General features: G+C 32.5%; 1 long non-coding RNA gene across 3 annotated transcripts in view; it reads left to right on the top strand.

The window, feature by feature from the left end:
* Positions 1-23,568, top strand: part of LOC105374678 (uncharacterized) — a 108,785-nt gene that overhangs the window by 73,703 nt on the left and 11,514 nt on the right. For 2 of the 3 annotated variants that reach the window (XR_001742406.2, XR_925838.3), the window contains 2 exons: positions 10,126-10,451; positions 12,700-12,814. This is a non-coding gene — a long non-coding RNA (uncharacterized LOC105374678). Of the gene's footprint in view, positions 1-10,125; positions 11,141-12,699; positions 12,815-23,568 lie in introns of those variants that run through there. The other variant, XR_925839.3, reaches the window with a different exon arrangement.

The raw sequence follows: 23,568 nt of genomic DNA, 5'->3' as shown, positions 1-23,568 counted from the left end.
AGACTTAATGGTTTTCCCATAGTATGAAAAACATTAGTGATGTCGATTCAATATCACACTGAATTAATATTATATTGTAGATCCTAGCCAATAAAATGAAGAATGTTAAATCAAAGGCATACTCATTGGACACACTAGGAAGAAAGGACAAAATTCAATTTGAAAATTGCGTGATTTTTTATGTAGACTCTAAAAGAATCTACAAAAACAACTGCCAGAACTAAGTAAATTTCACAAGGTTGTCAGACACATGATGAATATACAAAAGGTACGTTGGCCTATTACCTCTTTTTGTATGGCCTGAAAGCTGAGTGGTTTTCATTTCAAAAAATAGTTAAAAACAAAACCAAAAGAAGAATTATATTTTGACACCTGAAAATTGCATGAAAACCAATTTTTTTTCTTCATAAATGAAGTTTCAGAGGAACGCATCTATTCTCATATATTCATATATTGTTTATGGGTGCTTTCTTGCTACAATGGCACAATTGACTAATTGCAACAGAGACAACATGGCCTGCAACGTCCAAAATATTTATTATATGTTACTTTCCAGGAAAAATTGTCCAACCCCCTATTGTATACTATATATGAAAAATTGGAAATTGAAAGATTTGAAAACTGTATTTTTTGCAATAGATACAAAGATATAAGACCCAATCTTGCTGAGATGTCAAATCTCTCCAAATCGCCCTATAGATTCCATAACATTTCAATGAAATCCTTGGCAGAATATTTTTTAGAAACAGGCAGGCAGATCCAAAAATGTATAAAGGAGAACAAATAATTTAAACAATAAAATAAGTTGAAAAAGAGTGTAACTGGAGAGTTCACATTGCATGGATTAAAGCCTCAACTTAGAGCTGTAATAAGATTATGTAGATTCGTCCAAATGATAGAATCACAGATCAATAGAACAGAATAGAATCCTTTTCTATTATAAATAAATGAATAATTAAACTGGTACAAAGGTAAACAGAAAGTTTAATAGGGAAAGTACAGTAGTTTCAACAAATTTTTCTAGAACAATTTAAATTATAGATATAAAGAAAATCTAACCCAATACCTAAAAATTATATTACTCAAAATGAACAACAGACCTAAATCAGCTATAAAGTTTTAGAAGAAAACATAAGAGAAATGACTGTGAACTTGGATTAGATACAAATTTTTTAGAATTGACACAAAAATCACTGTTCATTAAAGAAAAAGCCATTATATAAGTTTCATCAATATGACAATATTCTACTCTTTTAAAGCAACCTATTTGTTTGTATCGTCTCTGATTTCTTAGAGCAATGTTTTTTAATTCTCATTGTAGAGATCTTTCACCTCCCTGGTTAGCTGTATTCCTAGGTATTTTATTCATTTGGTGGTAACTGCGAATGGGATTGCTTTCCTGATTTGGCTCTCCCCTTGGCTGTTGTTGGTGTATAAAATAATAGTGATTTTTGTATGTTGATTTTATATACTGAAACCTTGCTGAAAATGTTTATCAGCTGAAGGAGCTTTCGGGCCAACATTATGGGGTTTTCTAGATATTGAATCATGTCATCTGCAAACGGGGATAGTTCTGCTTCCTTTTTTCCTATTTAGATAACTTTTATTTCTTTCTCTTGATTGATTTTCTGTCCAGGACAACCAATATTATGTTGAGTAGGAGTGGTGAAAGAGGACATCCTTGATTTGCGCCAGTTTTCAAGGGGGATGCTTCCAGCTTTTGCCCATTCAGTGAACAGAAAAATAAACCACAGACTGGGAGAAAATATTTGAGAAACCCATGTCCGATTATCTGATGAAATATATTTTTAGATATAGTTCAAAAATTTAAACATTTAAAACTCAATAAAGATTATATAAACATCCCATAAAAAATGAGCAAAACTTTTAACCAATGCTTCACAAAAGAATGTATATGGATGCAAATAAACACATAGAAATATGCTCAACATTATTTGTCATTTGGAAAATATAAATTCAATTTACAATGAGATACTACTCTCTTTTTATTAGAACAACAATAAATTAATAAAAATAAACAAATAATGATATCAAGTGTTGGCAAGAAAAGAGAGTGACTGAACTCTCATACCTTGCTGCGTGAAATGTAAAATGGTAAAGCCCTTTTGGAGAACATTTTGACTAGTTCTTAAAAGGGTACACACTTACCAGATGATGCTCCTACAATTACATTCCAAAGTGTTTACCCAGGAGAACCGAATGCTTATCTTCACAAAAAATCTATAAGTAAATGGTTTTGGTGGCTTTACTTATAATCACAAAAAAACTTGAAATAACAGAAATATCTCAGAAAAATATTACATTATAAATTAGAAGTATGATAAATCAATTTCATTTAGGGTGACTTTATATTTTTGTCTGTGATCTAATATTGATTTGTAATTTCTGTGATTTATTGTACTTCAACACACCTCTCACTGGTTACATTAAAAGCTACTTTTCTAACGCAAATTTTTGCTTACTGAAGATCAGCAATGCCACCAATCTCTTCTAATTAATTTTATTTTCATTTTTAAATGTTTTGCTGTTTAAATATTTATAAAATTTCAAATGCATGTAATACTAGATGGCATATATAATAACTCAGTATACCTATCACCCAGTCGCAACAATTATCAGGGGATATCCAGTATGTATCACCTGTACTCCACCTACCTATCCCCAGACTATTTTGAAACAAATCTCAGTTATCACATTAATTCATTATAAATATTTCAGTGAGTCTCTGTAAAAGATCACGACTTTTATTAAAAAATCACTATAATACCATAATCACACCTAAAATATTAACAATAATACCTTAATATCATCATATATCAGTGTTGACATTTCCTTAATTGGCTTATAATTTATTTTCCAATTTGTTTGAATTGGGATTCAAATAAGATTCTTAAATTGTGATTGGCTCTCACTTATCTATAGATTTCTATAGCCTTTCACCCATCTGTCTTTTTGTTTTCTCTGTCATCTTTTGCTGAAGAAAATAAGTCATTCTTTCTCTAGTTCCCCAAAGACTGTATTTTAATTATGATATTCTTGAAGTGTCATTTAGTATATTTCTCTGTGCCTTGTATTTCCTGTATATTGGTTGTTTGATGTGGAGCCTTCTTTTTAATTGTAGTAAAATATAAATAACATAATATATACTATTCTATTTATTTTTAAATTTAAAATGCAGTGGCATTAAAAATATTTGCAACTTTGTGTAACCATCATGCTGTGTATTTCCAGAACTTTCCCATCATTCCAAACAGAAACTTATCAATCAATAGCCCCTCTTTTTCTAACTCTCTCCCTCCCCACAGGCATTGGTAGCCTCTGTTTTGCTTTTTGTCTCTATTATATTGTCTATTTTAGGTGCTTATAAATAAAATCATACCATGTTCATTCTCTTGTGTCTTTTTATTTCACTTAGCATAATGTTCTGATTACCTTTGATTGTCAAACTGGAGTCATCACCTGTCCCAGGTACTGTAGGAAGCCGTGGATCATTTCTCATGTGTCTGAGGTTTCCTGTGGGCTGGGTCATCTCATGCTTTGAATTTCCACTTTCTCTGTTTGATGTGTGCCCCTTATTTTGTATCCTGAAGTTCCTGTGTTTTCCCCATTTAGTTCAGACAAGAATATGACCCTTGCTGCTTTCCCTTAAGTCCACAAATCATCCCTAAGCTAAGGCTTACACAATTGACATACTTCAGTAAAGACTTAAAGATAATTGGAATGGTTCAAAGAACAGGAAGCAAAAATCTTTCAATACTAAGCCATGCTGTACTAAGTTTCCTTGGTTATTTCTGATTTTTCTTTCTCATATCTAGCTGTCTGCATTTTCTCTTATGCTAACTTTCAGGAGCTCCAAGAAAAGCGATATCTCTCTTATCATTGAGGAAAAGGCTAATTTTTCTGGGTTAAAATCAGTATAAAACTAACATAATTATCACTATTTATTTACAAAATCATTCCTAACATAGCAAAAATTGATGATAGTTATGAACAGTTCATTTAATTATAAGTTACATGTTCTTTTCTAGGTATTTACAAATTTAAGAAGTACTATTTTATGTGAAGTCACTCTTCAGTGAAAAAATACATAAAAATAAGTCAACTTCTGTCAAGGCACAGCAAATATTTGACGACTTTCTTAAGTTAGAGATTAAAGGACCCAATTATATTTGATGTCAGTCTTCAGTTGAATCCTAAAGCAATTTCATTTTCTGAGATGCTGCAATTGTAGCTCATTCTGAGTCTTGTGAAAGGATAACTTTCAAGTCCCACAACTATTTGAATAAATAGACGACTGGAAGACCATTCTTTATTTAAATGCATTTTAAATGATACAAAACTCCAACATATGACAAGCAATGTGACTCGTAATGTTTATATTCTTTGTTTCTCTTCCTCTTCTCTAAATTTCTTATTCATTTTCTTGTTACCCCTAATAAAATTCTGATATTTTAGTTTTTTAAATCATTTAATCATTAAAAAACTTAAATATCAGAATGCTGTTATATCATGTACCATGTATCAATACTGTATCATTATCAGAATACTATACAATAGTATAAACAATTGTATGTTAACATACTGTTGTGTTAATTTTCAGCCTAACAGATCAATATGTATCTTCTTTACATTGACTGTTTCAACTGTGATATAATTATGCATTTACACAAATGTGGGCAATATGTTTTCCTTAAAACACTTTATTGCAGTATGTATTAAACTATGCTAGTAAAAGTAATTTTTTGAAATAAAAGTAAGCTGTTTTTATGAATAATCAATGGCAATTTGAATTAATGATATGTTTTAATATTTTCTTTCAAAAGTTTGAATAACACACATATGTATTATTCATTAAATTTAGAAAAATAAATGAAAATTTATGTTTTACTATTAATAATTGAATTATTAATTGAATTTAGAAAAATAAATGAAAAACTAATAAGGATGTGCTAAATTTTCAACAATTATTATTTGAATTTTCCGTTGTTCATGAGGTTTATTTGTTATGCCTCAATACCAAAGATAACTTGTGAGGGAAATGTTATCTTCTGGGTGTTTTGCGTAACATCTGATCCCAGATGAGTTCCTCTTTATACTTTGCAAATCTAAGCAAACTTTCTTCCCTCCATCTCTTTTACCAATTTTCTGCATTTAAAAATTTAAAAAACTAATAAAACCTTATAAAGGCAAACATCATTAACTTTAATAAACTACTACAAATTTGTGGAGCCACATAACATACTGTGTAATGTCTGCCATGCTCTTGGGTTCTTTCTCTTCTCTTCTGTATTCCACCCCACATTCACTTAAGAATTCAATTTCTTGTTTGACTTTTGTTCTGTTTACTTATACCTGGAAAAATCTCCTGCCCAAATAAATCTAGGTTCTAAGAAGAATGAAATTCCTTAAATTTATGTGGTAGATACACTCATTTTAAGCTAGTTCTGGTTAGGTACTTTTTTTCCCATCATACCTTTGCCAGAGATTAAATATTGGACACTGCTGGAAAGTTCCTTCATTAGGTAAGGACAATAAAATGTATTTAATTATTCAACTGGAGACTCTTCTTGGGCATCTTTTGATTTATTGGGTAACTCTCTTCTCTAATTGTTTTCAGTTCCATTACCTTCAGGCCTAAATTGAGTCATTGATCCTTAATTCTCTCCTCTTGATTAGATATTGTATGAGTTTTTTGCACCAAATCTTGATTTCTTTTACATAAGGAGTCTATTTCATGCAAGGCTAGCCATGTCAGGACTAGCGTCTAGTTTTTCAGAAGTGGCTGGATGAGGTCACTTTTTAAAGAATTTTATAATTCTTTAAAAAGGAGCAGCATCAGCGTTCCTTCACGGCTTGTAAAGAAGAATAAATACCTACTGTATGTCTCTCCATGCATTTCCCGAATTCAGAATGAGGGTCTATCCTTATTGCTCTGATGCCCACATTCAGGGAACAAATAACTAAAGGCTTCATTCAATTAATCCATATTTCCAGGCTCTGCCTTCTCCCAGTGGAAATTTTTTTAAAATCAAGTTTATTTATTTATAAAGTCAGATGTTTTACACCTCTGGCACTATTACCATTTTCAACCTCTTGACTAGAGTTGAGTTTTTGTATTAGTTCATTCTCACAGTTAATAAACACATATCCGAGACTGTTTAATTTATAAAGGAAAGAGGTTCAATTGACTCACAGTTCAACATGGCTGGGGAAACCTCAGGAAACTTGAGGAATCATGACAGAAGAGGGCAGCAAGGAGAAGTGCCAAGCAAAAGGGAGAAAAGCCCCTTATAAAACCATCAGATCTCGTGAGATCTCATTCACTATCACAAGAACAGCACAGAAGTAACAGCCCCATGATTCAATTACCTCCCACTGGGTCCCCTCCCACAACACATGGGGATTATGGGAACTACAATTTAAGATGCGATTTGGGTGGGGACACAGCCAAACCATACCAGTTTTCTTCTATAGTTTGTCAAATACTTGGCATGTCTTCCGTTATAGAAATACAAATGTGAGTATAGTGCAATAGTCCTAATTCTTTTCTAATCTCGTGAGTACTGCTCTCAGCTGGATGATAATCATTGAGTTATTGGTTGGTCACATAAGACCTATGTGTCAAAATTGTCTCCAAACTAGTAGCAAATTAGTAGTTTTTTCTAATAAAGGCTATTAATCTCTTTTGAGAGAACTATACTATGAAATGGTGATCAAACCATGCCTTCACTATTCTGACCCTTTTTGGAAAAAGTTAATGTAGAAAATAAAATATTTGTTTTCTTTAATATTTGGTAGATTATGCGAGTGAATCTACCTGTGGCTGCAGTTTTACTTGTGGGAATTTTTGTAAGTACAAAATCATTTTTTAAAAAAGCATGTATAGGGCTATTCAGGTTATGTATTTCTTTCTTTCTTTTTTTTTTTTTTTTTTGAGACAGAGTCTTGCTCTGTTGCCCAGGCTGGAGTGCAGTGGCACTATCTCAGCTCACTGCAACCTTTGCCTCTCGGGTTCAAGCAATTCTCCTTCCTCAGCCTCCTGAGTAGCTGGGATTACAGGCACCCATCACCATGCCCAGCTAATTTTGTATTTTTAGTAGAGACTGGGTTTCACCATATTGGTCAGGCTGGTCTCGAAACCCTGACCTCGTGATCTACCTGCCTTGGCCTGCCTCCCAAAGTGCTGGGATTACAGGCGTGAGCCACCGCACCCGGCCAGGTTATGTATTTCTTATGGAAGGAGTTTTCCAGTTTGTGTCTTATAAGAAATTTGTTCCTTTTATCTAAGTTATTGAATTTAGTGACATAAATCATTCATAATATTTTATTATTCTTTTAATATTTGTAGAATTAGTCATATTGTAACTTCTCTGTTAAATTATCACTTTCTTTTTTCTAATTAATCTTCACAGAGGTTTATCCATTTTATTAACTTACTTTAAAGGTGAGCTTTTTGTTTTATTATTTTCTTTTTAATTTTTATTACTTTCTGATTCATTATTTCTTTTTTTTTTCTTTTTCTTATTTTTAGGTCAGTATCTTCCCCACTTCCTTGTCTCTAAGGGTTGAAGCTGAATTTATGACTTTAATTTTTTCTCTGTATTATTATGGACATGTAGTGCTACAAGTTTTCTTCTAAGTATTGTTTAGTTGCATCTAACGTAGTTGATAAACTGTATTTTCATTTTAATTAAGCAGGAAATACATTCTATTTGCTGCAACTTTAGGTCATTTTGAAATCTGAGCCATACCTGCTAGCTTGATCTTTTTCAAGAGTGTCTCTAATAGTCTCAACAATTTAAATTTCTATATATATTTTAGGTAGAAGTTTTCAAGTTCCACTTAAAAAATTATCTTAGTAACTTGATTGACATTGCATTATATCTTAACATCAAATTGGGAGATAAGTGAAACCTTTAAATATTTATGACTTCAATATGTATCCTTCATTGACTTGTTTCCTACATTTACAACCAAGATTGTTATTTTCTGCATACCATACTGAAATATCTTGACCTTTATAAGTGATATTTTTAATACATTCTTTCACTCTTTGTTCTGTAAAGTTCAGTGGATTTTTTAAAACACAGCATTATTTTCAGACAATTACAGAATCCTATAAGTAGTTTCATTGCCATAAAAACTCCCTATGCTTTACCTACTGAATTATACCTACCCTTCTCCAAAGTCTTGGCAACCACTCAACATTTTGCCTTTTTCAGAATATGATGTAATTGGAATCATACAGTATGTAACCCTTTTGGGATGGCTTTATTAACCTAGTAATGTGCATTTAAGGCTCATCCATGTCTCTTAGGCTTAATATTGCATTGTTTGTTTTGTGTACTATAGTGTGAGTATCCATTCACGTATTGAACATTTTGGTTACTTCAAGTTTGGGGCAATTATGAATAAAACTATTAAATATATTTATGTGCAATTTTTTGTTTGGATATACGTTTTCATATTAGTTGGATAAATAAAAGAAAAGAAATTGATGGATTGTATGCTAAGACTATATTTAATTTGTAAGAATGGTCTTTCAAACTGGTGGTACTATTTTGCATCTCCACAAGCTATGAATGAAGAGTTCCTATTTCTTGGCATCTTCAGTTTCTGGTATTGTCCTTTTCCTGTTTTATATTTGTTTGTTTTTTATTTTAAATATTCTAATATGTGTATTGTATTTTGCATTGTTGTTTAAACTTTCAATTATATGATGATAAATGATAGCATCTTTCCTATAGTAATTTGCTATTTGTGTATCTACTTTGGTAAGGGGTTGGTTTAGATATATTTCCATTTTTAGTTATTTGCTATTTTCTTCTTACTTCATTTTAAGAATTCTTTTTATATTTTGTATACAAGTCCTTTAACAGGTACATGTTTTGTAAATATTTTCTCCCTGACTGTGGTGTGTCTTTTAATTTTTTACCAGTGTGTTTTCAAGAGTTATAGTTTTTAATTTTATTAAAGCCATATTTAACATTTTACTTTCTTTTATGAACACATTTTTGGTGTTGTAGCTAAAAACTCATTGCCAAACCTGAAGTCATCTAGATTTTTGTCTTATACATTCTTATAGATGTTTTGCAATTTTTTAAGTCTATGACTTCTTTTTCTTTTCTTCCTTTTTATCTTTTTTGTGACAGGGTCTCACTCTATTTCCCAGGCCTGAGTGCAGTGGTACGATCATAGCTCGCTAGAGAGTCAAACTGCTGTACTCAAATCATCCTCCATTCTCAGCATCCTGAGTGGCTAGGACCACAGACATAGATTATCATGCCCCATTGTTTATTTTTTTTATTTTTTGTAGATACAGAGTCTCACTATGTTGCCCAGGCTGATCTCAAACTCCTAGCCTCAAGCAATCCTCTTACATCACTCTCCAAAGTACTGAGATTACAGGCATGCGCCACTTGTGCTTAGCTGATTTTTTTTTTTAGTTAATTTTTGTGAAAGGTGTTAGGATATCTTATTAGACTCATTGTCAAGCATATGGATTTAAATTGATCCAGTAACATTTGTTGAAAGAGCGTTCTTTCTCAATTGATTTGCCTTTACTCATTTGTTAAAGATTAGTATGTATATATCTTGGACTCTTTAATCTGCCTATTGATCTATGTGTCTGTTCTTTCTCCAATACCATGCTGACTTGAATGCTGTAGCATTAGTGTAAGCCTTCAAAATGGGTACTGTAAGGCCTAAAACTTTGTTCTTCTTTAGTATCGTTTTGGCTTTTTAAACACATATTTTGCTTTTTCATATAAACTCTACACTCAGTTTTTTGATGTCTACAAAATAGCTTGTTTGAGTTGATTTTACCAGGTCAAGTTGGAAAGAACTGACATCTCAACAGAATTGGATCTTTCATCCCATGAACACACAATATCTCTCCATTTATTACAATCTTTGATTTCTCTCATCATAGCTTTTCTGCTTTCTGAATAGAAACTATATATATTTATAAATCCTTTATTCAACTTTATACCTAAATATTTCAACTTTAGTCCCACAGATAGTTTTCTGGTGAATATAGAAATGGACACTTCTAGTCTTAAAGCTGGAAACTTAGCATCTGTTTTATCTGATTCCCTTCCTCAGAAAAGGACATCCAGGCCTCACACAAAAATGGATCAATGAATTGAAACTCACCAAATCACCACCACCAGACAACGGGATGCTGAGTCTCATTCATCATGATTGCTTCCTGAAGCCTTCTGAGTTCCTGTTTCCCTACACATTGTTACATTTCTTCCCTGCAACATAAACCCCCAATTTTAGTCCATCAAGGTTATAGATTTGAGACTGATCTCCCATTTCCTTGGCTGCAACACCCAATTATAGCCTTCTTGGCAATAATTGTTGTCTCAGTGATTGGCTTTCTTTGTGGCCAGCAGCAGGACCTAGACTGAACACCTGATTTTCTGGTAACAGTATAATTTTTCTTCTTTTGTCTATTGTGGTAGGTTACATTGTTTGATTTTTAAATTAAACTGGCACTGCATAGCTAGAGTAAATGTGACTTTGTTGTGTTAATTTTTATATGTTGTTGAATTTGATTTTCTTGTGTTATGTTGAGAATTTTACATATATCTTTATAAGAGATATTTGCTCGTAATTATCTTTTTGTAAAATATCTCTGTTTTTGCTATGAAGGTTATAAAAGTAATTTTGGGAGTGCTCCCTATTTTCTATTAGAGAATGAGGGAACTGGTACCAATACTACCTTAAATGTTCAATAGAATTCACATTCGAAATTATCTAGGACTGGTTATCTTTTGAGAAAAGTTGTTAAACATTATTCAGTGTCTTTAATAGATATAGGCCTGTTCAGTTTATCTATTTCTCCCCATGTGATCAATGGAAATTTGTGTCTTTCACGTGATTTTTCTATTTCTTCTAAGTCATCAACTTGTTGATATAAAGTTATTCACAATATTCTTATCCCTTCAATGTTCAAAGATTGTTATTAATATTCATGAAACTGGTAGTACTGATCTTGCTTTCTTTTTTGATATTGTATTGCACATCTTTTCTCTTTTCATGTTCATTAATTTGTGTGGAGGTTTATCAATTGTATTCATTTTATTAAAGGACAAGTTTCTGGTTTTATTAATTTTCTCTATTGTTTTTCTATTTTCAATTTCATTGGTTCTGCTCTAATCGTGTTGCTTTTTGGTTCTGCTCTAATTGTGTTGCTTTTCTCTTTCTTGCTTTTGGTTTTAATTGAACTTCTTTCTCTCATTTCCTAATGTGGAAGCCTAGATTATTAAATTTTAGATATTTTTTCTAACAGACACATGGGATACTATATATTTCCCTCTAGGTACTGTTTTCATCCCATTCCACACTTTTAGATAAATAGTGTTTTCAATTCTATTTAGTTCAATTTTATTTTTTTAGTTTCTCTTCATGTTTTTTCTTTGACACAGATGTTATTTGGAAGTATATTTATTGTTTAGTCTCCAAATATTTGAGTATTTTCAACTATCTTCCTGTTATTGATTTCCGTGAATTCTATTACAGTATGAGAATATATTTTGAATGATTTTACTTCTTATATTTCTCCTGCCCATGCTGGAATAAAGAACACATCTTTATCAGCTCTTTACTTGCAGATTCTGGTGGAGTGCCTGAGATAAGACCCATAAAAATATGAGGCACTCCCTAAGATTCAGACCCCTGGAAGTTACTCACTCTCAGCTAGTCTACCCTCAGCTTCCAGCAACTGCTCAAAGTAACCATTTAAGTGTTTCTATAAGTTTATAGCTCTTGTTCTTTTGCTCCAAGTAAGCTTTCCTTGGCAGAGATGCCCGGATTTACTTGTTTTTAGATATCATGGTGACTGCTTTCCTGGTGACCTCAATTTTCTGACGGATCCTAGAAAAGTTGCTGATTTTCATTGTTCAGCTTTCTTTTAAGTTTGTTCAGCCCGATTTTCATCAGAGTGATGGCTTCAAAGCTTTTAAAATATCAGAGCTGGAGGCCAGAAGTCTGTTCGATTTTTAAAATTCTGTCTGATACTCATTTTTAAAAACCTGTATATTTCAATATATTTCTGTGAACACATTTAATGATATTTTGTAATTTTCAAACTACTGACTTTTTTTGCTTTGCCTTGCCTGATATTTTTATTTTTTCTGCTTTCTTTTAAATTAACTATTTTTTTTAATTTTTGGAGTTTCCTCTTCTTCAGTTTTGTACTTACCACACATATTATTTCCGTTTTCCTAGGGCATGCATCATTAAGCCACCAAATTGAAAACTAATTGGTATCTTTACTTTCCTGCATAAGCTGGGGTTTTACAACTACAGACTCTGCTGTATGAGTCAAACTTTTATATTTATTTATATAAATACGATGCCATAGATTTAAGTTCTGTCATTTTAAAACCCAACAGATACTTTATTACTGTTTTTCATCGTCACTGTAATTTAGAATTTCCAAATATTTGGTCCTTTCTATCTTCTTCATTTTTGTTTGTGTCAGAGAAAATACCCCTCAATTCTTTTTTCTATTGCCTATATAAATCCTTTTAATTTTTCTTTTGTGTAATGTGCTATTATACTTCCAAGACTTCTGGTGGTTAGTTTCTTTGGGAAGAGGTTTTCAATTAAAAACATACAACTTATTTAGACACCCAGTTTTCATTTTTGTCTCTTTTTATCCCACAGGTCTCTCAAAACAGAATTTTGGCTTTTCCAGATTGGCAAATAGCTCTTAGTTAAATGTGGCTTTCAAGTATGTGTTTACTCCTTTATGTTTCAATTTTCCTTCAATTTTGGCCTGGTAAGTCTTTACCTTCTTTCAAATACCATATATTTCAAAAAGTAGTATTTATTCTATTAAGCATGGTGATTGTACGAATAACTTAACCTGCTCTTAGTGTGTTTGGGCCACTGCAACACAACATTATAAACTGGGCAGCTTACAGAAAACAGAAATTTATTCCTCACAGTTATGGAGGCTGGAAGGTTGAGATCAAGGTGCTGACAGATTCAATGTCTGCTGAGAGCCCGTGTTTCAGTTAAGACATTGCGCTTTTTAGTCGTGTCCTCACATAGTGCAAAGGACAAGGTAGCTCTCTGTGGCCTCTTTCATAAGAACACTAATCCCATCTTTAAAGCCTCCGCTCTTATGATCTAATTTCCCCAAGGATCCCACCCCCATGCTATCACATTGGTGATTAAGTTTCCAGATGTGAATTCTGAGAGGATACATTCAGATCATAGCACCCACCATTACTGAAAATACAAATTAACTTTTCTTATCTGTGTATAAGAAATCAAGAAACTATCAATACAGATGTGTTTATGTGTGTGTATGTATGCCAGTATGTATATGTATTTGTAGATTCAACATTACATAGGACACTTCCCTTAAATCATTAAAAATAAAGGAAATGGTAATGATGCTATCAGTTGTAGTATGAGTAGCAGTAGTGAAAAAGCAAAGCAGAGAAATAGTTTGGTGCATCACTCTTAGCACTTAGTAACTCCAAAAGCTTTAAACACATATAGAAGGAGTAAGTTTATGAAGACAATTTGATAGAAATAAAATAGCAAGTACTTTTACATTTTGATAAATACTTCATTGATGATAAACACAATTCATTTTATCCTCAGAAGAATACCGTTATGTAGGTACTAAAATTATCTCCATTACATACATGAGAGAAATAAATTTCAAAAATTAATGTGATTTGTTCAATATTACACAGCTAATTAATGGTGGAGCTGTTTTAAGAATCCAGAAAATAAATTACTATTGTATGTGGCTAATGTATCTTATAAAGGCAGAGCAAATAATTTTAATGAATCTATAAAATATGCAATTCAAAATTGCAACTCAATACTTAAACACTTTTCCAAAAACAAAACAAGTTTGTCCATGCTGTATCTTCTGGCCAAAGTTCAATAAAACTTAAGTTCATTATGACCATATTCCTAAAAACAAAATATATTATATAAAACGTGAAACAATTTGGGCCAATGGGAATATTAAACTTAGAATGAGAAAAGCACTTAAAATATTAGAATAATTAAAACACCTATGAGAAATAGTCAAAGCTAGTAGTAATAGAATGCATTTGCATAAATGTTGTTTTATTAAATCAATAAACAGAAAAAATCTGGTTATTTCATTGGAGATAATGTTATATATTCTTTAATAATATTAGACAAATTTCAAAAACATTTTACAATGTTTAAAGCATTATCCATTTTCTTTTGTGGCTTCCAAATCAAAATATAAACCTATCCTAATTTATTTCTATATTTTGAATAAAATTATCTATGTAGGCTTCAAATTTGAGGCATAATGACAGTTTCTTCCGGGACTAATAATGGCGACACCACTTCTCTCATTCAGCATTGGTGACAGAGCTTGACATTGTATTACTGCACACCATTATATGCCAAAAGACTTTAGGTGCACACAGCCAATTCATTTGTCATAAGCTTTTGGTCATCCAAGGGTTACTCTGAATTTTATAACCCTAGTAATTGTAATTTAATAGTATTGCCAAACAACTATTTGTAATTGTATAATTGTAGTGCTACAAAAGAATGAGTATATGTTTTAACACAGTTGTAAGCATTTTAAACTACAGAATATTAATAAAGAAATTTTTACTCTGAGCATCATTTTTAAGTTTTAAATGTTAACTAGAAAATAATCAATCAGAATAATGTCAATCATTAAAATATTATGACTTTCATGTCACATGCATGAAAATATTTTGACCATGAATTTTTCTGTAGATGGAAGCATTAGCTCTGTCCTGGAAAATAGTGAATGAAGCTGATCAGTGTGAGGGTAGGAGTATATTTTAAAATACAACAGAACTACTTTACTGAGTAATACAGAGTTTGAAATGGAAGTGATCATTGTTTCTGAGAACTAAAATTCAGATGATTTACAATATCCCATAAATGTATGATGCTGCTGGTTCTATTTATAAAATATACTGTTTGCCTCACTTTATGGTATTTATATCTCCTGTGGTCACACTATTATAAAGCAATTTTTATGAAAGCTATGAAAAAATCTTTAACTTTTTTTCTAACATAAACTTTTTAGAGCACACACAGCATTGAGACTTATAAAAGATTCCACAAAGAAAATTGCATTTTTCCCATTTGATATGTTATCATTAATTCCAAGGAAAGTAAGCACTCATTTATATTTTTGAAAACTGATTCCTTCTTACATTTAAGAACATTTAATGTTGCATATACACATTGAGTTTAGAAATGAAATAGTGACCAAAATGGTTTTTCATAGCAAGTGAATGTTATATTTTATATATATATATGTGTGTGTGTGTTTGTGTATATATAAATTGTGTATTTTCTTGATGCTCTTGAAATTCTGCACTGAATCTAAATGAGATTAAAGTCAAAAAATTATAATCAGTATTGTACAATTTTTCTACTCTCATATGTTTATAGACTGTGTAATTCTTTGTTTTCTTTGGATACAGAGGAGGAAATCCTTCCTTCAAGTCTTTTTACCAACATTTCAGTTATAATTAAAACTTCAGAAATAGAAATTATCTTTATAACAACTCCTTTGCCTTATATAAAACAACAATAACAACAGGTGACAAGTTTGGCTGAGTGCCTAAGAGAATTTAAGTGCCCTGCTTGTGTAGGACCCTTTTTTGTAATGAATGCCTACAATTGAAAGTCAATTTCCCTGAAGAAAGAAAGCCTGATCCCCCCCAAAAAAATTAACAGAAAAACAAAACAAAAACTGAAACAATCTGAAAAAAAATACATTGAAAGTTTTCTTCTAATGCATTCTCAGTGGATAGCATGTAGCACACCTCTTTGGGGAAAAGGAAGATCGAAGTTGAACTATGCAATTTTCTAATTATCCTCACTCTACAAGGAAAAACAAAGGAAGCATCATCCTATGAACAAATTAGGATTACACAAAGATTTTCAGAATAATAAAAACTATTTATCTTTAAATAGCAAAGAGCTTCATTGAAAATATTTTGTCATTTTCAAACTATTAACTGCAATTATTTTCACTCAAATAAGTATGGGCCATATGTAGCTATTGTCCTTAGACACCTTAAAGCTATAATGTCTATTTAAAGGATTTTTAAGTTATGAAGAGAAGAAAATTAAAATTATTGGAGAATATGATAATAGATTTTGGAAGAATGCAGCTATCAAAGCATTTTCCTAAGTTAAAATATCTGATACAGCAGTTACGAAGATAGTTATTAATCTGAGAAGTTTTTTTTACTTTTTAAATTAAGATGTTATTAGCTATTCAAAACTGCTTGTTATTTATTAATAAATAGCAACTATAGGACTTATATATAAAAGATCAAGAAAAAAGCCACGTTATTTTCTGAGAAGAGCAACAAAATCCAAAGATCTATTCTATGGTCCACTTTACAATAACTACGTATGATGCATAGCTTCTGCTGAGAATGGATATTTTCTTTCTAATTTTTACAGATACTAAGTGCTAAATAATTTGAGGTTTCTATTTTGGGTTCAAACAATGTAATCAGGATTTCAAAAAATATATACTCACAAGAAAACTGGCACATAAAAATTGATTTTTTTTTTTTTTTTTTTTTGAGATGGAGTCTCGCTCTGTCGCCTGGGCTGGAGTGCAGTGGTGCAATCTCGGCTCACTGCAAGCTCCGCCTCCTGGGTTCAGGCCATTCTCCCGCCTCAGCCTCCCAAGTAGCTGGGACTACAGGCGCCTGCCACCACACCTGGCTATTTTTTTTTTGTATTTTTAGTAGAGACGGGGTTTCACCATGTTAGCCAGGATGGTCTCCATCTCCTGACCTCGTGATCTGCCCGTCTCGGCCTCCAAAAGTGCTGGGATTACAGGCGTGAGCCACCTTGCCTGGCCTAAAATTGATAATATTTTTAAAACAATAAATCTGCAATATCAGACAAGACATGGTACCATATTGCCCAAGTTAGTTTTAATGTCTCATTTTTATAAGTTAAATGTATATGTCCTTATATGATGTTCTTAAATATGTGTTTCAGAAGATTTTTCAAATTGACTAGAGAAATCACTTAATAATCTCAGTGGGAAATGTAATTATTTGCATATAAGTTTCCGAATATTTCTTTGTTGTTTGCTACATGTTACATTTCTAATTAAAATCACTTGGAGCTTTAGTTAATGCTGCTCCTGTTTCAAACAAAACAAAAGAAACAAAAATTTTGGATAATTATAGAAAAGAGCAAGTTTCATTCAAACATGTTGCCAAAAAGAGGATTCTATAGGCCAATTATAAGAGTTCTTCTTCATCAGAATTATACAAAAGAGAAACTTTAGATAACTATTAGGTTGGAAACATGGGAATATGTGTTTGAATAAAATAATAAGATATGTGATTGACATAATATGGGTTTGTGGATCACCACTTCTCCAGAAGTGTTCTTTATCCTATTAAATTTATCAGAAAGTTTCTTATGCACTTTATCAGGAATGCAAACTTTTCCCAAAAAGGAGGCTGTGAATATTATTATGCAGCATGTTTCAGATCAGAATCAGAACAATTTTTGTTTGTTTTTTTGTTTGCAACTCTGTGAAATGAGATCTACAAAACAACAGAAATCATTTAAAAACCATAGACATCTAAACTCTGATTAAAATTGACTGTGAATAGTCCATCATCCCCTACTTTCTAATTAACGGCCCTGATACACTATAAATCTTGGCATTCTGGTTAGTAGCTACAAATACAAAATGTTCTACAGTAGAAGAACTGTATGTTTCCATTGCACAACAGTCTTCAAATATTTCTGATAAACTATAAGCAAGACATTTTCTTTGCAATTTTTTAGGAACTAGGCCTCTAGGAATGTTGAAATCAAATAATACAAACAAGTTTATTGTGGTTTGGGAATATGATTTATTGTGCCCTTTAAAAATAGTCCAATTGGAAGTTATAAGGAATAAGGGTTATTCTTGAAATGAGTACAGAAAAGGCTTCTATTTAATTATTTGCTTACATGTTAAAATATTTATTTAATTTAATAATTTAGACGTATTTGGTTGGTCTTCCAATCCAGAGGATTAATCAGAGTTACAGCATTCTACCTGATCACATTTAGAGGTCAATTTCCTCTTTTAGAATTGCACAAGAAAATTCCAGAAATGAGAACTATATTTTTTCTTCCACTGTGATGATGACTGAGATTTCCATGCTGACATTTGAGGGATATGCTGGAAGATGAGTGGCTGAGTCTATTCAATGCTAGGTATTTTTTTTTTCTTGGCCATAGCAAATAGTGCAGTCTAGCAGTATAACCAATCTCTTCTTTCTTTCTGTGCTTTGTGTGTTTACCATAATTTATTTGCATGAGGCTTGCATTGAACCCCTTAGAGTTATAACAATCTATTTTAAGCAGTTGATAACTTAACTTCAATTGCACATGAAAGCTCTATGTTTTTTACTCTCCCCCTTGTTACTCTTTGTGCTATTGATGTCAGAGTTTACTGCGTTTTATATTGTGTATCCATTAGCTAATTCTTGTGGTTATAGTAATTTATAATAATTTCATCTTTCAAATTTCATGCTAATGTTAAAAGTAATTTTTGTGGCATCATAACAGTATTGGAATACTCTGTTGGTTCATATAGTTACTGATGAGATTTGTATTTTTTTGTTTTTTGAGACGGAGTCTCGCTCTGTCACCCAGGCTGGAGTGCAGTGGCATGATCTCGGCTCACTGCAAGCTCCGCCTCCTGGGTTTACGCCATTCTCCTGCCTCAGCCTCCCGAGTAGCTGGGACTACAGGCACTCGCCACCACGCCCAGCTAATTTTTTGTATTTTTAATAGAGACGGGGTTTCACTGTGTTAGGCAGGATGGTCTCGATCTCCTGACCTCGTGATCCACCTACCTCAGCCTCCCAAAGTGCTGGGATTACAGGCGTGAGCCGCCGTGCCCGGCTGAGATTTGTATTTTTGTATGCTTTTATTTTGCTGTTTAACATCTATTCATTTTAACTTGAAGAATTCCCTGTAGCACTTCTTGTAGGGTAAGTCTAGTGGTAAGAAACTTCCTGTTTTTGTTCATCTGGCAGTCTTTATCTCTTTCAATGATAAAGGATTGTTGTGGTATATATAGTATTCTTGGGACCATTTTTTAATTTTAATATTTGAATATGTCATCTAAGTTTCTCCTGGATTACAAACATTCTGCAAAGAAATTCACTGATAGTTTTATACAGATCCTCTGTGAGTTAATGAGCCACTTTCCTTTTGCTGCTTTCAAAACTTTTCACAACTGAATTACGATGTGTCTGTGCAGACGTAACCTCTGGGCTCCTTGAATCTAGATGCCCATTTTCCTCCTCAGATTTGGAAAGTTTTCAATTATTGTTCAGTTAAGTATGCTTTCTTCCCATTTCTCATTCTCTTATCCTTCTGAGAATTTCATAATGCATATATCATTTCACTTAATGGTGTCCCATAAATATTTACTTTTTTCATTAGTTTTTAAATTTTTGTTCCTCTAACTGGAAAATTTCAGATGACTTCTCTTCAGGTTCACTAATTATTTATTTTGTCTGATTAACTCTGTTCTTAAAGCTCTCTATTAAATTTTTAATTCAGTCATTGTATTCTTTAGCTGTAATTTTTTATGGTTTTCAATATCTTTGTTGAAATTCTCATTTTCTTCATGTATTGCTTTCCTGATTTGGGTTTAGTTGTCTATCTGTGTTCTCTTCTAGTTCACTGAACTTCTTTAAGATGGTTTAAAAACTGCTTTTCAGACAATATGTAGATTTCCATTTCTTTAGGGTTAGTATTGGAGCTTTATTACTTTCCTTAGGTAGTGTCATATATTCTTGACGTTATAGTCCTTGTACTTTTTCATATGTGTCGGCATATTTGAGAAACTGTCCACTTTTTCCAGTTTTTACAGGCTGGCTCCAGCAGGGAAAAACCGTCATCACTTAGCCCTGTCTGGGATTCTGAGAGGGCCAGTTGGCAGAGTCCCTGAGTGGGCGAGGCTTGCTGCTGAAGTCAGCAGGATTGGTCAGGCAGGGTCCAATGCCAGTGCTTTGTAGGTTCCTGAGGCTTCTGGCTAAGGCTAAAGTTGGGAGAGACCGCTGTTGTGAGAGGTTTATGGTCTGGCAGGGTCACTTGGCTTGGTTCTGTGTAGGACATGACTTGCTGGTAGGGACATAGTCAGACGGCAGCTGGTGAGAGCTGTGGCTGGGCAAGGTTCCTGGTGGGGTCTGGAGTTACCATCAAGGTCCATGCATATTGACTGCTAAAAAACCCCACCCCTTTTTATGGACCTAGCTGTCCCACCCCCGCCCCCCAACAACTCTGCCCCAGTATAAGGAATGAGGCAAGACCAAAGCAGTCCTCTAGGACAAAGACCCAAATCACTGGGGAAGGTGGAGGTTTATGTCAGTCTTTCCCCCTGTGTTAGTCTGTTTTCACAACACTGATAAAGACATACCCGAGACTGGGAAGAAAAAGAGGTTTAATGGACTTGTAGTTCCACATGGCTTGGGAGGCCTCACAATCATGGTGGAAGACAAGGGGGAGCAAGTTATGTCTTAAATGGATGGTGGCAGGCAAAAAGAGAGCTTGTGCAGGGAAACTCCCATTTTTTAAATCATCAGATCACATGAGACTCATTCACTATCACAAGAACAGTGCAGGAAAGACCTGCCCCAATAATTCAATCACCTCTTACTGGGTTCCTCCCACAACACATGGGAATTGTGGGAGTTGCAATTCAAGATGAGATTTGGGTGGGGATACAGCCAAACCATATTCCCCCACTGGAGAAACTGCAGACTGAGGGTATTCTTCTCAACATTGCACTGTGCAGGCTTAGGAGAGAGGTGATGTGGACAAAGTGGAATTTTATTTTTGCTCTTTTTAATATTTGTGTGTGTTTATACTCTGTTAGGGTGCTGTAACTCCCCCTTAGAGTTCAGAATTATCACAAAGTCATTATTGTCTGTGAATAATTATTAAATTTGTATTTCTGTGGCACACCTAGAGCTGGGGACCCCTTATTCCACAGTCTTGCTGATGACTCTCTCCTTAAACTCTCAAAACAGATTGCAATCTCTTACTATTGTCCTTCCACCAAACCCTTCGTATTTTTAATTTACTCAACTTCAATGGTTCTTTCTTGGATTGTGCAACCGTATCTCCTCCAAACCCTTGAAAAATCTTTGCCTTGATTCAACATTAGGCAACAGTGCTTCTTCTTCAGGTTGTCACTAAAACCCAGCTACCTCTTAATCCTCATTTCAATACCTTCCCTTTACAGTAATCCTTATCTCAGAACTCAAAAGCTTGACCGCATTTTTGAGAGGGGAAGTTAATACATCTCACACTCTTTGTTCATAGTAAATAAACAGAGAACAAAAAAGGTTAATATTTTATGAAATTATCTCAACAAATTTTTTTGGCGTTATGGCATTAACTCTCTTTTCTAGGAACTGGAGAAAGTCATTACATACTTATGCCACACAAAATCTAATTTTCTAGTAAATCATAGTGCATGGATTTATTTTTGTACATATGCAAATATAAGTTTATCATACAAAAAGATTATCAACACAAATAAATCATCACATTACTTCAAAAACTCTATTCCTCTCTGTCTCTCTGTGGGCATATATATATATATATATATATATAATATATGTATGCCACAATAAAAGCAGAATAGCTATAGTCATATTTCATATTTTTATTATTTTCACCTCAATTTTGACTTAATGTGCTGTTTGAAATATATTCCTCTTAAGTACACAGACTTCTAATATAAATATGACCTTTAAAATGGTGGAATTTGAATCATGGTGTAAAACAATCATAGTATTATAGTTAACAGTGCCTTATGACTTTTATTAACTGATATTTTCCTAGCTTCCTCAATAAAATAAAAATCAGCAGTGGTATTGATGCCACTGATTACCTAATGTAAATCATTTCACATGTTATTTAATGATGACATTTCTTAAAAAGGAAAAAAATAAACCACTTAATTAAATACCAATTTGTATCACTTAAAGTTAAGCTTTAAGCTATTAGAATAAATCATAGTTAAAACACACATAAGTCTTTTATCATAGTTATCTGACTTCCAAATAATCTTTTCAACATTGTTCTTTTTCATTTAAACTAAGTAGAAAGTTAAAGATAGATCAGTACTTCAACATTTATAAAATGTTAAATATTAAAATATACCTGTTTTTTTCTGATTCTTTAGAAATAAAATGAGCAGGAGAGACAAAATAAATTTGGCAAAATTAATTGTAGTGTTACAGAGGTTTCCTGTTCTAGTTGAATGAAATATGAAAAGATCTCTCAGGCTTGGTCTATTTTCTTCATACTAAAAATGAGACAAAACAAAATGTATTTTTCCAAGTTTATTTGAATCTTATCCTTCGTTCACAATTTTAAGCAAATATCATTACATAAATATGCCATACAAAATTTAAGTTTCAAATTAAAATTTTAAACAAATTCTAAATTAAATTCTATATTAATGGCAATATCTATATACTGTTTCTTAAAAATTAATTTCTGGTACATCTAGAATGAAAAAGTATTCACCTCTAAGAAGTAGAGAATGGAGAAAATTTAAATGAATATTACTAAGTAAAAAATAGCCAATCAAAAAAGCTGCATACTGCATTCCAACTATGGGACATTGTGGAAAAGGCAGAACTAGGGAGAGAGTGAAAAGATCAGTAATTGCCAGGGCTTGGAGTAAGGGAGGTATGAATTGTCAGAGCACAGAGGATTTTGTACAGTAAAATCTCTCTATATGATACTATAACTGTGGATACATGTAGTTACATATTTCTCAAAACTCACAGAATATATACTGAGTGAACCCTAATGTAAATAAAGATCTAAAAATTGCTTTTGCCCAGCTTAGTTTCTAAGTTGGCCTAAGAAATACGGAATATAAATAAAATCAGCATATACAAATAAATAACATATTAGTAGTTCTGTTATTGACACACCTTATTATTGTTAAAATATAATTTATTATATCCACATCAATAATCATTTGTTGTATTACTAGACTGGATTAAGTATTGTATTTAAAGTCAATTGTTGAATTTCCCATAATAAATTTTTAGAAACTTATTAAATCACACAGAAGTTATACATTTATTTTATTAAAAATAGTTAAGCTCCTTCAGTGAACACTGCATTCGAGAAGTTCTGTGTAAGAGAAACATATCAGATGAGTTCTCAATGACTGCTTTAATAATAGGGGGAGTAGACAGATGTGCAAATGTTTAATAAGGCAAAGTCATACAAATAAGGGGATAAAATGATGAGTGGAAGGAGAAGAAGGAAAATTCAACAGAGTTGAAGTGATTGGGCAAAAACTCTTCTAAGAGAAATTGGCATTAATCTATGCTTTGAAGTGTTGCAGTATGTTTAGTCCCTTGTTCAGCTAAGTCCAAGTTCTTGTCCCATGACCAAGAAGAATAAGGCATGCAGCCACAAGAAAGTGAGTAGAGTAGGATTTATTAAGCAAAAGGA

The sequence above is a fragment of the Homo sapiens genome, chromosome 5, assembly GCF_000001405.40.
Source record: "Homo sapiens chromosome 5, GRCh38.p14 Primary Assembly".
Lineage (NCBI taxonomy): Eukaryota > Metazoa > Chordata > Mammalia > Primates > Hominidae > Homo > Homo sapiens.
This window is presented reverse-complemented; position numbering and strand designations above follow the sequence as displayed.